Genomic DNA, 15476 nt, shown 5'->3' with positions numbered 1-15476 from the left:
CCAGGTGTGGTGGTGGCATGCACCTGTAATCCCAGTTACTTGGGAGGCTGAGGCAGAAGAATCACTTGAACCTGGGCGGCAGAGGTTGCAGTGAACCAAGATCACGCCACTGCACCACTCCAGCCTGGGTGACAGAGCAAGACTGTGCCACAAAAAAAAAAAAAAAAAAGAAAATAAGTAGGAGAGCTAAACTCAAATGTATATCTGTGAATTCAAGGACTGTGTGTGTGTATGTGTGTCTGTTTGTGTGTCTTACCCCATTCCATCTCATTCCTGCACCCCAAGTCACAAACTAAAAACCCACGGGGCCCAGCAGGTGGTGCCCGTGAGTGAGCTGGCTGTGAGGCAATGGAGAATGGCAAGGCTTGTGTAGAAGTGGAGAGTCCACGCACCATCTAAGGGCATTCGATATGAATCTTCAAAATTCTGTGCTTGCTACAAAGCACGCCTGCTGAGGTATTTTCCTGGGAGCCGCCTTATGTAAAAATTTGGAAAAGCAGCGGCCTGGGCCTAGGGCTTCCATGTTCATTGCAGCACGGTTCACAGTAGCCAAGATATGGACGTGACCTATGCGTCCATCAGCAGATAAAAAAGATGTGTGTGAGAGAGATATACACACATATGTGCGTGTGTGTGTACACACATATATACACACAAAATGGAATATTATTCAGCCATGAAAAGAAGGAAATTCTGTCATTTATGACAACCTGGGTGAACTTGGAGGACATGGAGTAGAATAAGCCAGGTACAGAAGAAGGACAATTCTGCATATTCTCACTTAGATGCGGAATCTAAAAAAGTTGAACTCATAGAAGCAGAAGAATGGTGGTTACCAAGACAAAATCTTGATATTATCTTGGTTCTTAGAAATGCAGGATATTCACCTAGACTGTCATGATGTGGTTAAAATGGGTGAAGATGCTGCGTGACACAGGGAGAGGCAGCAGGACTTAGAAATGTGTAGGCTTTATAAGTTTGTAAAAGATTAAAATATTATCATTATTTATAGAGCATTACTTAGTGAAATACCAGTGAGCTCTCTCTCTCTCTCTCTCTCTCTCTCTCTCTCTCTCTCTCTCCCCCTCTCTCTCTCTCTCTCTCTCTCTCCGTCTCTCTCTCTCTCTCTCTCTCTCTCTCTTTACATTAATACTAAAGTTCCAGCTGGGCGTGGTGGCTCAGGCTTGTAATCCCAGCACTTTGGGTGGCCGAGGTGGGCGGATCACCTGAGGTCAGGAGTTTGAGACCAGCCTGACCAACATGGAGAAACCCCGTGTCTACTGAAGATACAAAATTAGCCGGACGTGGTAGCACATGTCTGTAATCCCAGCTACTCGGGAGGCTGAGGCAGGAGAATCGCTTGAACCTCGGAGGCAGAGGTTGTGGTGAGCTGAGATCACGCCACTGCACTCCAGCCTGGGCTACGAGAGTGAAAATTCTTCTCAAAACAAACAAACACACAAGCACACTAAAGTTCCACACTTTCAGTTAACTATATGTGGGCATGGTCTTTGGGCCCCGCAGAGTGCAGTTGTGCACACAGCTATCTATCTGTTTGGCTCCACGTCTTACCTTTCTGATGGATGAACCTAAGTCTAGAGTTTAATGGAGATAAAGCATCAAGATGGCACACAGTATCAAGAAACAGTATGCAGAGACTGTGTAAGGAAATACTCCTTTTTACAAATAAAGTATACTATATTTGGATGATTATGTAACTTTACAATTCAAAGATGGAGTTACAAGAAACATTTTGTGTTATGGCAACACGAAACTGGCTTTTTCTCAGCCTCTGTTGGGCATTGTCATGTGTGAGTATTCACATTTCATCGAGTTTAATTTCTTCTGTTGAGACTATCATAAAACGGCATTAATTTCTTCCTCACTTTCTGATTTTCTATCATTTTTTCACCTTTGCCATGTTCCCCTGGACTCCCTCCTAATGTTGGAGGAGCCCATGCCGAGGTGCTCCCACGCCACCCCAGGGCCTCATCTGTCTGCCTCCATCCTCGCCCTGCCTGAGGCTTTCTGCCTTCTGGTCTTTCTTCCTTTCTTCCATCTACACAGGTGTGCTGGGTAGATGCGCCTTCCTCTCTCCACCTGAGGCCCCTCCAGCTGCAACACTCTCTCGATGGCCAAACTTCCACAAAGCATTGCCTTCCTTCCCGTCTCCCACAGATGCTTCACCACGTCCGGCCCCCAGCTCCTCTCTTCCTCTGTCCACAGCTACTGCTCATGGACTACAACATGCCACGTCTGCATTTTGGATTTTGACTGTCTTGAGCTTGCCGCTCACATCTGTGGTTACCTCCTGGACATCACTGCACATGCTGCAGCATCTCAAACTCATTTCACTTTCTTCAAAACACCCCCTGATGTTTCTTTCAGTGAATCCTCTGTCCAGCTACATGTATTGCTTATGGCTGACACCCATCCCTCACCACGTACCAGCTGTAGCCTTGGGAACTACATTTGATGCGTCTGGGCCTTAGTTTCCCCATTTGTAAAGTGATGATGAAAAATCATACTCATTTCGTAGGGCTATTGTGAAAATTCAGTGTGTTAATATACGTAAAGCCTATTGAAGAAGGCTTGGCATGTTGAAAGGGTTCAACATGTGTTATCATATAGCTTTGATTCTGGTTTTACAAAAGTAGATCATACTATGCTATCTTTTTTTTTTTTTTTTTTTTTGCCTTTGAGACAGAATCTTGCTTCATCTAGGCTGGAGTGCAGTGGTGCAATCTCGGCTCACTGCAACCTCTGCCTCCGGGGTTCAAGTAATTCTCGTGCCTCAGCCACTCCAGTAGCTGAGATGACAGGCATGTGCCACCACGTCGGCTAATTTGTGTACTTTTTGTAGAGATGGGGTTCACCACGTTGGCCAGCCTGGTCTTGAACTCCTGGGCTCAAGCGATCCACCCACCTTGGCTTCCCAAAGTGCTGGGATTACAGGCATGAGCCACCGTGCCCAGCCTTATGCAATCTTTTTAAATCCAGTATTTTGTGGACCTCTTTTCAGGTCATGTTACCTGTTTTTCAAAATGTTTGTCCAGTGTTGCATGGTAGAGATGCTTGTGAAATGCTCTTCCTGTGCGTCGATGACACGCCTCTGATTTCCTCCCCCATCCTCTGGCTGTCCTTGTCCAAGGGTCCTTTGTGGGGTCTTTGTTTTGGGTCCTACCTGGAACATTCTGATTGTTCAGGGTTTTGTTCCAGACCTTCTTCCCTTTTCTCTTTATGCACTTCCTTGTTTGTGAGCTCACCCCACCACCCTGATGTTAACATACGCCAAGTCTCCAAAATCTGTATGTCTAGCGGAGCTCTCTCCCCACCTGCCTCTGGTCACCTGCACTTGAATGTTTTCAAGGCACTTCAACTTCTACAAGTCATTTTCACCCAGGCATGACACCTCATCCCTCTGGCTTTCCCGCAGAAATTCAGGAATCACACTTGCTTTCTCGCCTGCCGCCCCTCCCCCCACCACTCACAGACACACCACCACCCCATGGACTCGCCTCTGAACTTGTCACAAGTCCCTCTCATCCCCATTGCCTTGGCCTATCCCCTCTCACATGGTGGCTGCCCAGCTGGCCCCTCGTAACCCTTCCTCACCCTGCAGGCACAGAGATCCCCCTCCAAAAAACCGGGCTGTGTCTTTTCTTTCCTTAAAACCCTTCAGAATCTCCCTGGCACACCGAATGCTCACAGCTCTTGGGCTCTGCCTCCACGGAACCCTCCACTTTTGTGTTTGGCCGTTTCCTGTCATGGAACTATCTTCCATTTCTCAGTCTCTGGGCGGCTCTCACCTCTGGGTCTTCATGTGTGTTGTTCTCAGACTGGACCCTTCTTCCTCTAGCAAGCAGGGGAGCAGATTCTTGGCATCCTTCAGATCCCAAGGTAAACGCCGCCTCCTCCAGGTCTTCCTGGGTCTTTTCTTTCTCCGTAGGGCAGCTGCCCTTGTGTTTGTCCCCACTCCCCCCCGCCCCCCCACCACCTCCCCGGGCTTCCCTAACCCAGCTGTGATCATGAGGACTCAATTGCTTGTCTGTTTTGGTCTCATTCACCATTGTCATCACGCCCTCTGGGCTTAGCAGTGTCTGACGCGTTGTGGGACTCACAGCCTTTGCTGAGTTGAATTGCTTTTGGAGTCAGTGCCCATTTGCAAAGGCTGTGGAGCCTCCTGTGAGGAAGATGCACAGATGCATCTGCTCCCCAGTTACTGGTGACCTTGGTGTTCAGACCCCCTGAGCCCAGGCTGTGAACTCCGGTCCTGGGGCGTCACACGTCTCTAGGGTACACACACTGCGTGGCGGCCAGCGCGGGTATGTCCTCGGCCCCCTCAGCGCTCCGTGCCCCTTCAGCACAGAAGCGAAGGGTCCAGCGCTGTTTTAGGCACTTTGTGTGTGTCATACCGTGTAGTCACCATGGATGAGATGTGTACCCAGCTTGCAGGTGGAGAGCCTGAGGCACAGAGAGGGCGAGTGACTCCAAGGTCACTCGGGTGGCCGTGGGTCAGCCGGGATGGCAGCCAGCGTCCGCCCTGCTGGCCAGCATGCAGCACTGCCCCCCGAGGACACCCAGGGCTGCTTGGCGTGCGTGGTGGTGGCGGATCACGGCGAAGCCAGGGGTCTGTCTCTGACCAGTCGTATTTCTCCTGTAGAACGCTGCCGAAGCAGTGTCAGGCACAGGTCGGGCTGTCAGGTGAATATCAGGCTGGGAGGAGAAAATGCTCAGAATGGATGCATGCCCTCCTTTTCCTCCCTGGCAGGTGTTCTAAAGAAAAAGAAATTAGGTCTGGGCCAGAGGATGTCCTCAGCGCCTCAGAGGAGGAGGAGCAAAGCAGGGGCCGCAGGAGCAGGACCGCTTGTTCCCGATTCCGCAGCTTCTGAACATCATGAAGACTGAGTGCATTGAGATGCATAAAAAATACTTCTGACCTTCATTGTCATTTGGAGAGATGCTTTTTTTTTTGTTATGAATTCCCCCTTTTCTGACATTTCGTCTTTGGTAAGTTAGATAATGCAGACAGCTCTTCCTACAAATCTGATGTTCTATTATTACCCCATTGGCAGCTCAATGTGGAGCAGTCACCAAAGGGGACAATTGACAAAGGCATGTCTGTCTTGGCCTCTGTCCAAGGGGCTTAGTTCTTTAAGTGTGAGGACTGTAAGACGGCCTTATTAATAAGGAAGATGAGCTTGGAGGATTGCCTGCTCACAGCTGCTTGCATCTCATAGAGGTTTTAGCTCTGTAAAACAACTAAGCAGGCATTGCTGTCTCTACTGACAACTCTGGAAATTAAGAAAACAAGCTGGGTGTGGAAGTGCGCGCCTGTGGTCCCAGCTACTCGGGAGGCTGAGGCAGGAGGATCACTTGAACCCAGGAGTTCGAGGTTGCAATGAGGCATGATTGCATCACTGCACTCCAGCCTGGGCAAAGAGCAAGACCCTGACTTTAAGGAAAAAACAAAATAAAACAACACAGAGAAGTTAAAGTGATTTGTCCAGTTATGAAACAGAGAGATAGCATAAAGGTTAGGAACTGGGTTTTATGGTGCCTTCCCCTTTTATTTAATCTCCCTCAGTCAGCGCCTTCCAGAATGTGGTAAGTGGAGAGGCCCAAATTCTAAGATGAATGATTCATGGTGTGTGTGTATACTTGTATGTATTTATAATTGAGATCATTTTACATTCAATAAGATGCGGAGATCTGAGGTGCTCAATTTGAGTCTTAACACACACATATCCATGTAGCCCTGCCCCAAACAAAATGCAGAACCTTTTTATCATCCCAGAAAAGTTCCCTCATGACCCTCTTTAGTCATTCCTCATTTCCTGCTCCCAAATCAGGCAACCACTTTCTGAATTCTGTCACCATGGGTGAATGTTGCCTGTTCCTGGAGTTGATGGACAGCATAGACTCTCTTGGGTCTGACTTCTTCCACCCAGTAACGCATTTGAAATTGATCCCCACGGTCATATACATCAGTAGTTCGTTCCTGTTTATTGCTGAATAGTCCTCGGTGGTATAAATATGCCACAATTAAACAAATATGAATGAATTACTTTTGACTTTACTTTTTCCCCTTGCATTGAATTGTTTTGTGTTGTAGGATGGTGCTACCTGTATGAGAAGCGCAGCGTGTGCCTTGCTATGCTATGTTCTGTCTGAGCGGCTCATCTCCTTAGCCCGTCCCTCATTGCATGATTAATTAACCGACCCTCACCTCCCCAGACAGATGCTCACTGACACCCATCACACACCAGGCAGTGGTCTGCACCTCAGAGATGTGGTGGTATTTTAAAACGCCCACATTCCTGCCCCCGCAGAGTGGACAGTCAGGTGGGGAAGACAGACAGCAGGAGGTGTTGGCAGAACGTGCGGCCTGTCCTGGGTGATTAATGAAGGTTAGGGAGGAAAATCAACTTGGAAGGGAATAGAAAGTAACGGTGTAGAGTGCAGTTTCAGAGCGAGTAACCGGGGAGAAGCATGGGAGAAAGACCTGAAGAGGAAAGGGAATTCCGCGTGGATATTTTGGGGAGCACCTTCCAGGTGGAGGGGAAACCAACTGCAAAGGTGCGAGACAGGAGCAAACCTCAAATTCAAGAGCAATTCAAGAGCAACGCGTGCGGTTGGTGTGTGGTGGGTGTGACCAGAGTGAGCCCAGGGGGAAGGGGAAGGGTGGACTCTAGGACCCGGTTAGGGACTTGGGTTATTTGCTTGGAAGCTCAATGCCATCTTCCTATTTGGAGGGGACAAAGCTCTGGCGAACATCTTGTTTGATAGCCAGATTTGGGATGTATTAATTAACGGAGGGGATTGCATCATCTATGTCCCCCAGGTGGCAATGCTTGAGACACAGGAGTCTCTCATTTGCTTAGATAAACCAGAAATCAAAGCAAAATAAAACATATGAGTTTTGAAAACAGAAAGCAGATTGGTCTTATTGGCAACTTGAGAAATCTTTCTTGGTCCTAGAGAAGGATATTCCTTTAGTGGCTGGCGTTGGCTTCAGTCGCTACTCCCTAATGGAAGCAGCTGGCTCAGTGCCTGGGCAGCACCTCTCACTCAGGGCTGGAGAGGACTCAGCAGGATGGGTCTAGAAAGTTCTGGGGAAGCCAGAAGCTTATACGATTTTGGGAATGCTTTTAAGTAAAAGGACATAAAATTATGAAGACAAATTGCTGGGACTCTCTTGGAGTCTTGGAAGGACCCGGGGAATGATACGTTCCTTTGCTTCAGGGAGAATGTGTCCTGATGGGGAGGGGAAGATGGATCCCAGGAGGGGCTAAAAAGGTCCGAGTCATATTTGTATGGAAGCCATTTATAAGCTCTTCTCACTGCCCTAATACAATTTACATGAATGCAAAGTTATGAAACTACCCCTTTCCTTTTTCGTTTTCCCTTTCATGTTGCATTTTGTGATGTTTTGCTCCTAAAGGGAATTTTCTAAAAACTAAAAGTAAATTTATTGAAGGTTTGCATAACATAAAATTAACCAATTTATTAATTTTTTTATTTAAACATACTCAATGTATTTCCATCTAGTTTTGTTAATTTCAAATTGTCCCAAATTGTTCCTGGGAACCTTTTCGCATAGCATTTTTTTTTAATCCTTCACGCCCTTCCACCCTTCCCCCTAAGTCCTGAAAGTCCATGGTATCATTCTTATGCCTTTGCATCCTCATAGCTTAGCTCCCACTTATGAGTGAGAACATATGATGTTTGGTTTTCCATTCCTGAGTTACTTCTCTTAGAAGAATGATCTCCAACTCCATCCAGGTTGCTGTGAATGCCATTCTTTCTTTCCTTTTTATGGTTGAGTAGTATTCCATGATACATATATATATGTGTGTGTATATATATATATATCTCACATTTTCTTTATCCACTCAGTTAATAGGCATTTAGGCTGGTTCCATATTTTTGCAATTGCGAATTGAGCTGCTATAAACATTCATGTATAAGTGTCCTTTTCATATAGTGACTTATTTTCCTCTGAGTAGATACCCAGTAGTGTGATTGCTGGATCCAGTGGTAGTTCTACCTTTAGTTCTTTAAGGAATCTCCATACTGTCTTCCACAGTAGTTGCACTAGTTTACATTCCCACCAGCAGTGTAAAAGTGTTCCCTTTTTTATCATATCCATGCCAACATCTGTTATTTTTTGATTTTTTGATCATGGCCATTCTTGCAGAAGTAAGGTGGTGTTGCATTGTGGTTTTGATTTGCATTGTGATTATTAGCGATGTTGAGCATTTTTTCCTATGTTTGTTGGCCATTTGTATATCTTCTTTTAAGAATTGTCTGTTCATGTCCTTTGCCCACTTTTTGACAGGATTATTTGTTTTTTTCTTGCTGGTTTGTTTGAGTTCCTTATAGATTCTGGATATTAGTCCTTTGCTGGATCCATAGTTTGCAAATATTTTCTCCCACTCTGTGGGTTGTCTGCTTACTCTGCTGATTGTTTCCTTTGCTGTGCAGAAGCTTTTTAGTTTAATTAAGTCCCATCTGTTTATTTTTGTTCTTGTTGCATTTGCTTTTGGATTCTTGGTCATGAACTCTTTGCCTAAGCCAATGCCTAGAATGGTTTTTCTGATATTATCTTCTAGAGTTTTTATGGCTTCAGGTCTTAAAGTCCTTGATCCGTCTTGAGTTGATTTTTTCTATAAGGTGAGAGATGAGGATTCAGCTTCATTCTTTCACATGTGACTAGCCAATTATCCCAGCACCACTTGTTGAATAGGGTGTCCTTTCTCCACTTTATGTTTTTGTTTGCTTTCTTGAAGATCAGTTGCCTATAAATATTTGGCTTTATTTTTGAGTATTCTGTTCCATTGGTCTACATGCCAATTTTTATACCAGTACCATGCTGTTTTGGAAACTACAGCTTTGTAGTATAGTTGAAGTCAGGTAATGTGATACCTCCAGATTTGTTCTTTCTGCTTAGTCTTGCTTTGGCAATGCAGGGTCTTTTTTGGATTTTGGTCTTTTTTGGATAAAATGCAGGTTCCATATGGATTTTATAATTTTTTCTAGTTCTGTGAAGAATGATGATGAATGTTGATGGGAATTGCATTAAAAGCTCCACTTAAAAGATACAGAATGGAAGAATGCATAAAAATCTACCAACCAAATATCTTCTGTCTGCAAGAAACTCACCTAACACATAAGGACTCACATAAACTTAAGATAAAGGGGTAGAAAAAGATATTCCATGCAAATGGAAACAAAACGTGAGCAGGGGTATTCTTATATTAGACAAAACAGACTTTAAAGCAACAACAGTTAAAAAAGACAAAGAGGGACATTATAAAATGATAAAAGAATCAGTCCAACAGGAAAATATCACAATCCTAAATATATATGCACCTAACACTGGAGCTCACAAATTTATAAAACAATTTTACTAGACATAAGAAATGAGAAAGAAGGCAACACGATAATAGTGAGGGACTTCAGTACTCCACTGACAACACTAGACAGGTGATTAAGACAAAGTCAACAAAGAAACAATGGACTTAAACTATACCTTAGAACAAATAGACTTAACAGATACTTACAGAACATTCTACCCAACAACCACAGGATATAGAGGACCTAAGAGAAACACAGCGGGAGCTCTGAGCTGCTTTGAGGGGAGTAAAGAAAGAACAGGGGTCAGAGCAGCTGTAGGGGGAGTGAGTAGGCTGCCCACGGAGCTAGAGAAAGGGAGGTGGGGAGGGAATGCTGGCGGGGCTCTGATGATTGTGGTGGGACATAACTGAGTCGGGGTCATCATGGAGGGGAAGCAAGTGAGGCAGGAAGACTCAGTGTCATGGAAACTCGGAGGGGAGACTTTGGGACGCACGAACGGGGTGTCCATCAGCTCAGATGCTTGGGGAACTACAGAGGAATGAAGACTGAAACATGGGGATTGAATTTGGTAGGAAAAAGGTTGAGAACTCTTAGGGGCGCAGAGCCAGTAGTGTGCTGGGTGCAGGGCCGGCGTTGGCACAGGGAGGTTGGCCGACAGGGTGTGAGGGAGGAGGCCGAGGTCAAAGGAGGCTCCGAGCCCTCTGCCCTCCATTGCCGCAGGAACCGTAGATAACCTGGACACGAAATAGAAAAACGACACGAATTTAGAGAAAGACCAAAAAGGAAAAGAAAATATGTAAGATGGGCAGGCATCATCCGATCTGCACAGCTCATGGTACGTGGCGGGCACTCGGTATTCAACAACTCAGGGAGGCATCCTTGGGTGTTTGCAATCAGCCGGTCTCTTCCCCTTCTTTGGTGGACTGGATTTCCTGGAGCCAAGCTTGCTCTTCAAAAGAGAAGTGGGAAGCTCACTCACAGGGAGGAGGAGAAGACAGGGCTTCCCTGAGCCGTGTGCATCTTCCCCAGAGGGAGGAGGCTGTGGGCGCCCAGGTCCCGCTCCCTTGGGAGGAGGAGGTGAGCCTGGGTGTGGCCGCTTTATCTCTTCTCCTATGTGCCTCGCCTTACCCTGTGGTCCCCAGCTGTTTGCCACCCTCTCCCCCTACCTCTTTCACCCTTTCACCTTTTCTCCTCCTTATTTTGAGTAAACTCCAGTTTACTCCTATTTTCTCAGTATTGACTGACTTAAAATTTGAATCTAATTCTTATGTGCACAGTAATGGCTTTGGAGTAATTGAAGAGATGATAAAGGCCTTCAAATATATGGCAAATAGACACAGCTTCTGGAATGCAAAGTCAATGAAAACTAGCATATATAATATTTGCAGGGCTAGAGAAATAAGAATATAAAGTCACTTGGGAAAAAGTGATGAAGAATAGAGAGAAAATCATTACAACAAAATGGAGCCTATAAAGGCAGTCGATCTGAGCAAACATCAATTTCAATTTCTTGTCCAAATGGGCATGAATACCAGAAATTGGTGATGTTATTTTTTGTGAAGCTGTTTTATTCTTACTTTGTGGAAGAACGAATCCATGGTGAGAAAGATAGGTGTCTGCCTCCTTATAAAATGTAGAAATAGTGAACTCTGAGCTTTTCTTTGTCATTAATTTCGAGAGAGGCTTGTAATAATCTTGTGACCATCTATTCTCCCTTGAGGTGGGAATGGAAAAGTCTCTGCATCCTGAAATTCTGAAAACATGAGCAGCAGTTCTTCAACTGGATCCCTCACTTCTTCAACCATTTGCTATATTGCCTTTTGGATTTCAGACTTTTTTCTTTTAATCTGAAAGTATATGAGATTTGAGAAGATTTTGTTTATTTCTGTTTTTTCTTCATGTTCCTTTAGCTGTTTTTTTCTATACTGTATCTTTTTTTTTTCTTTTTCTGATGTTCTGAAGTGCCTTGAATTGAACCCAAATGAAAAGACTTAGGATCCTATTTGGTAAAGAGAAAACAAACTCTGTTTTTTAATGCTTGGTGTTATTTTAGAATTGCGTCTTTTCCGAGACATAGTAGTCATGGGAAACATTTTGGCAATAGCAAGGCTGATCATAATAAGCACATTGAGTAGTGATTTTATATCTGATAGATGACTTAATAGTAATTACACTGAAGTTGCCATGTAATTAGATGTTTATTTGCCATGTAACTTTTATGTCATCAAAATGATGTGATTTAAACAGCAAAGATAATTATCCCTTGATTATGAGGCTGTGACCTTGAACTCTACCTTAATTAGTTCTAGGTTCTGAAGTAATTACATTGTTGAACCAGATCTTGCTGGGTGAGAGGGCAACTAACTGCATGCAAATCAGTGCTCACGTCCTTGGGAGGAATGATAGAGAATTGTGCACCGTCTGTCCACTGAGACGCGGATGATAGAGAATTGTGCACCGTCTCCCCACTGAGACGTGGATAATAGAGAATTGTGCACCGTCTCCCCACTGAGACGTGGATAATAGAGAATTGTGCACCGTCTCCCCACTGAGACGTGGATAATAGAGAATTGTGCACCGTCTCCCCACTGAGACGTGGATGATAGAGAATTGTGCACCGTCTCCCCACTGAGACGTGGATAATAGAGAATTGTGCACCGTCTCCCCACTGAGACGTGGATGATAGAGAATTGTGCACCGTCTCCCCACTGAGACGCGGATGATAGAGAACTGTGCACCGTCTCCCCACTGAGACGTGGATAATAGAGAATTGTGCACCGTCTCTCCACTGAGACATATATGAGTGGACTGCCTCTCCTGCGGATGTGAGCTCGGCCTGGTACTCACACTGCTGTGTGCTATGGACTTTGTTTGTCTCAGCCCATGTTTTTACCGTTCCTCAAAAAGATGAGCCCACCGGGCATCACACTGCAAAAGTCTCCATGCTTAGGCCTGGACTTGACTAATTCCAGTCTTCCTGCTGACTGGTTTAGGAATCAGGTTGCGACCCAATTTGGGCCGATGAAACTTAGGAGAAGTTTCCTGGGGACCTTAAGGAAAGCTGTTTCTCACTTTTTAAAAAGAAATTTAATTTTAATTTTATTTTTCCTTAAGTGATTGGGGTACAGGTGGTATTTGGTTACATGAGTAAGTTCTTTAGTAGTGATTTGTGAGATCCTGGTGCACCCATCACCTGAGCACTATACACTGCACCATATATGTTGTATTTTATTTCTCGCCCCGCCCCCCCACTCTTCCCTGCAAGTCTCCAAAGTCCATTGTGTTATTCTTATTCCTTTGTGTCCTCATAGCTTAGCTCCCATCTATCAGTGAAAACATACGATGTTTGGTTTTCCATTCCAGAGTTACTTCACTTAGAATAATCGTCTCCATTATCATCCGAGTCACTGCAAATGCTGTTAATTCATTCCTTTTTATGGCTGAGTAGTGTTCCATCATATATACACCACAGTTTCTTTATCCACTCGTTGATTGATGGGTTACGGAGAGTCACAGAAATCTCTCCTTCCACGATATGAAGAAGCACACAGCTGGGGTTGCTGTTGGGAGGCTTGTTGCAGCCGTGAGAAAAGCAGCAGTGGGGCAAAGGGACACCGTGGGTGGCTGCAGGGAAGGTGGTCACTCGGGCTTGAGCAGAGGCTGCCGAGCCACTGGGCTGACCTTTGAAGGCCTGAGGACTCTGGACTTGCTCTTGTGTGATCGAATCCATTTTCTTATTATCTAAGCCATGCAGCTTCTGGTTTTCTGTTGCTCGAAGGCACAGGGATACTAACTGACACACACACCCAGCCTGTCCTCTGGGGACTACTGATGTGTGAAACGTACCCTTGGTTCTCAAGCCTCCATATTTGCTCCACTGGCCTATGTGTGATTTCTGGCCACTTCCACATTAACTAAACTGTAAATGGGAAGAGATTTGACATCCCTGAAACCCTCAAATGAACTTCCCAAGGACACTTCAAAAGAAGCGTTTCAAGCAAATTTCAACCAGTGTGTCGAGGTAGTGCCCGTGTCGGGGAGCCTGCCTAGGTATGTGTTCCGATCACTCCTGTCAGTATCCATTGTTAAATAAAGCTTACTTAGCTCATTATTCACCAGACCTTTCTGATTAAAAAAAAATTCCCAGTGTAATTGGACCGGAAAGCATTAAAAACATCAGAATTTTCTCTGGGAATTCTTTACTTATTTTTAAGGATGGATCACATTATCAATTTTTTCTTTTTTTTTTTTTTTTGGGATGGAGTCTTGCTGTGTCACCCAGGCCAGAGTGCAGTGGTACGATCTTGGCTCACTGCAACCTCCACCTCCCAGGTTCAAGCAATTCTCCTGCCTCAGCCTCTCGAGTAGCTGGGATTACAGGTGCATGCCACCACACTAACTTTTGTATTTTTAGTAGAGACGGGGTTTCACCATGTTGGCCAGCCTGGTCTCGAACTCCTGACCTCAGGTGATCTGCCCACCTTGGGCTCCCAAAGTGCTGGGATTACAGGTGTGAGCCACCATGCTCAGCCTACATTGTCAATTTAAAAAGTATTATTTACCACTTTGTGGTGGTGAACTTTATTTTTTACTGAGAAAATGTGATCTTTTTCACAGTTTTCATATATTTTATTTAAACCTTGGTTCAACTAGTGATTTCAATTTATCTAATGTAGCTCTCTCATCTTTCTAATTGTTGACACTGGAGGAAACTCCCCACCAGGATCTACTTGTTTCTAATTGCTCACAGTAGTTTATGTTTCCAAATTTATGAAAACATTTACTGTGGCCCATCTATTTGATTAGGCATATTCTCATGATCATAATAGTGCTTCAAAGATTAATTTACTAAACATATAATCTGATGCTTTTAATTAATCACATGCCATAGTGTAAAGCTCATGACATAACCTAATGGTCAAGACCTGCAATTGATGAGCTATTAATTACCCATTAACTCATCCACTCACACGACCTGTAGATCCATCAGCTTGATTGAAAGTAGAGACCTAAATGATCCTAAAAGGTATTTTATATAACTTTCACAAAGAATTCCAGGAAAAGTTGATTCTTGCATGAGCAAGAGCGCAGAAAAAAAAATGACGAATTTTCCATGCATGTTCCTGCCCTCCACTCCAGAACAGGGAGCTAGTCATTAGAATAGCATGATACCTTTCTTAGTTATTCCCTAGTAACACGGTTAAGTGACATGACTAACTCTTTTTTCTTATCCTTAAGAGAAGGGGAGGAGGAATCAAAAGTGATTTTTTTCAGGTCCTTGGAATGCATGATATCAAGCATAAATTTTAATTGGCTTCATTTACTAAGTGTTGCATTACCTCATCCTCCAGTTTTAACTATGGATTTTCTATAAATCTTCATACGACTAAACATGATAAACTGCTCAACATATCACAGAACAAGGCAGTGCTTATTAGCACTTGAGAAGTTATTGATTCTTTGTCTTGATTAATCTTTTATTGGTCTCTGGAGTATTAATTCCAGAGAAGAGACTGTAGGTTTTGCCACAACAGAGCTCATTCAGAGTTTCTACTTCAATTACAAGATTTTTGATGTCACAGCTATTAGTCTAATTATGACTTTTCTGGCACAGATACTTTTTGTGTCTATCAACAATGAGCACTTTTAAATTTATTTTAAGATGTGCCAATAAAATATAGCCAACAAGTGTGTTTTATACTTAAGGATTAAAAAATAATTTTTACTTCTGTTTTAAAATAAAGTTTGTTGTTCTTGATTACGTAAATTACATGTATACATATGTAACAAACCTGCACGTTGTGCACATATACCCTAGAACTTAAAGTATAGAATATATATATATATATATATATATATATATATATATATATAACTTCTGGTGAGTGGGCTTTTTAACACAAAGAATCAGCTTTATTATTTTTTGAACAATTTGTGATACTTTGATGCTGACTTTCACTATTGATTCTGCTTGAATGCTTTCTAAACTAGAAATCTATTATGACATTATCAGATGCATGTGGAAATTTTAATATTTTTACAAATGGTCCTGGATGGTGCAGTGGAGGCTGCAGAATTTCTAGTACAGAAAGGGTTGGGTTGGGGGAGCCCTCTGG

General features: G+C 43.9%; 1 long non-coding RNA gene across 2 annotated transcripts in view; it reads left to right on the top strand.

The window, feature by feature from the left end:
* Positions 1 to 15476, top strand: part of RNF32-DT (RNF32 divergent transcript) — a 168437-nt gene that overhangs the window by 57293 nt on the left and 95668 nt on the right. The gene's annotated exons all lie outside the window — the stretch shown is intronic.

Source organism: Homo sapiens, chromosome 7 (assembly GCF_000001405.40).
Source record: "Homo sapiens chromosome 7, GRCh38.p14 Primary Assembly".
Classification (NCBI taxonomy): domain Eukaryota; kingdom Metazoa; phylum Chordata; class Mammalia; order Primates; family Hominidae; genus Homo; species Homo sapiens.
This window is presented reverse-complemented; position numbering and strand designations above follow the sequence as displayed.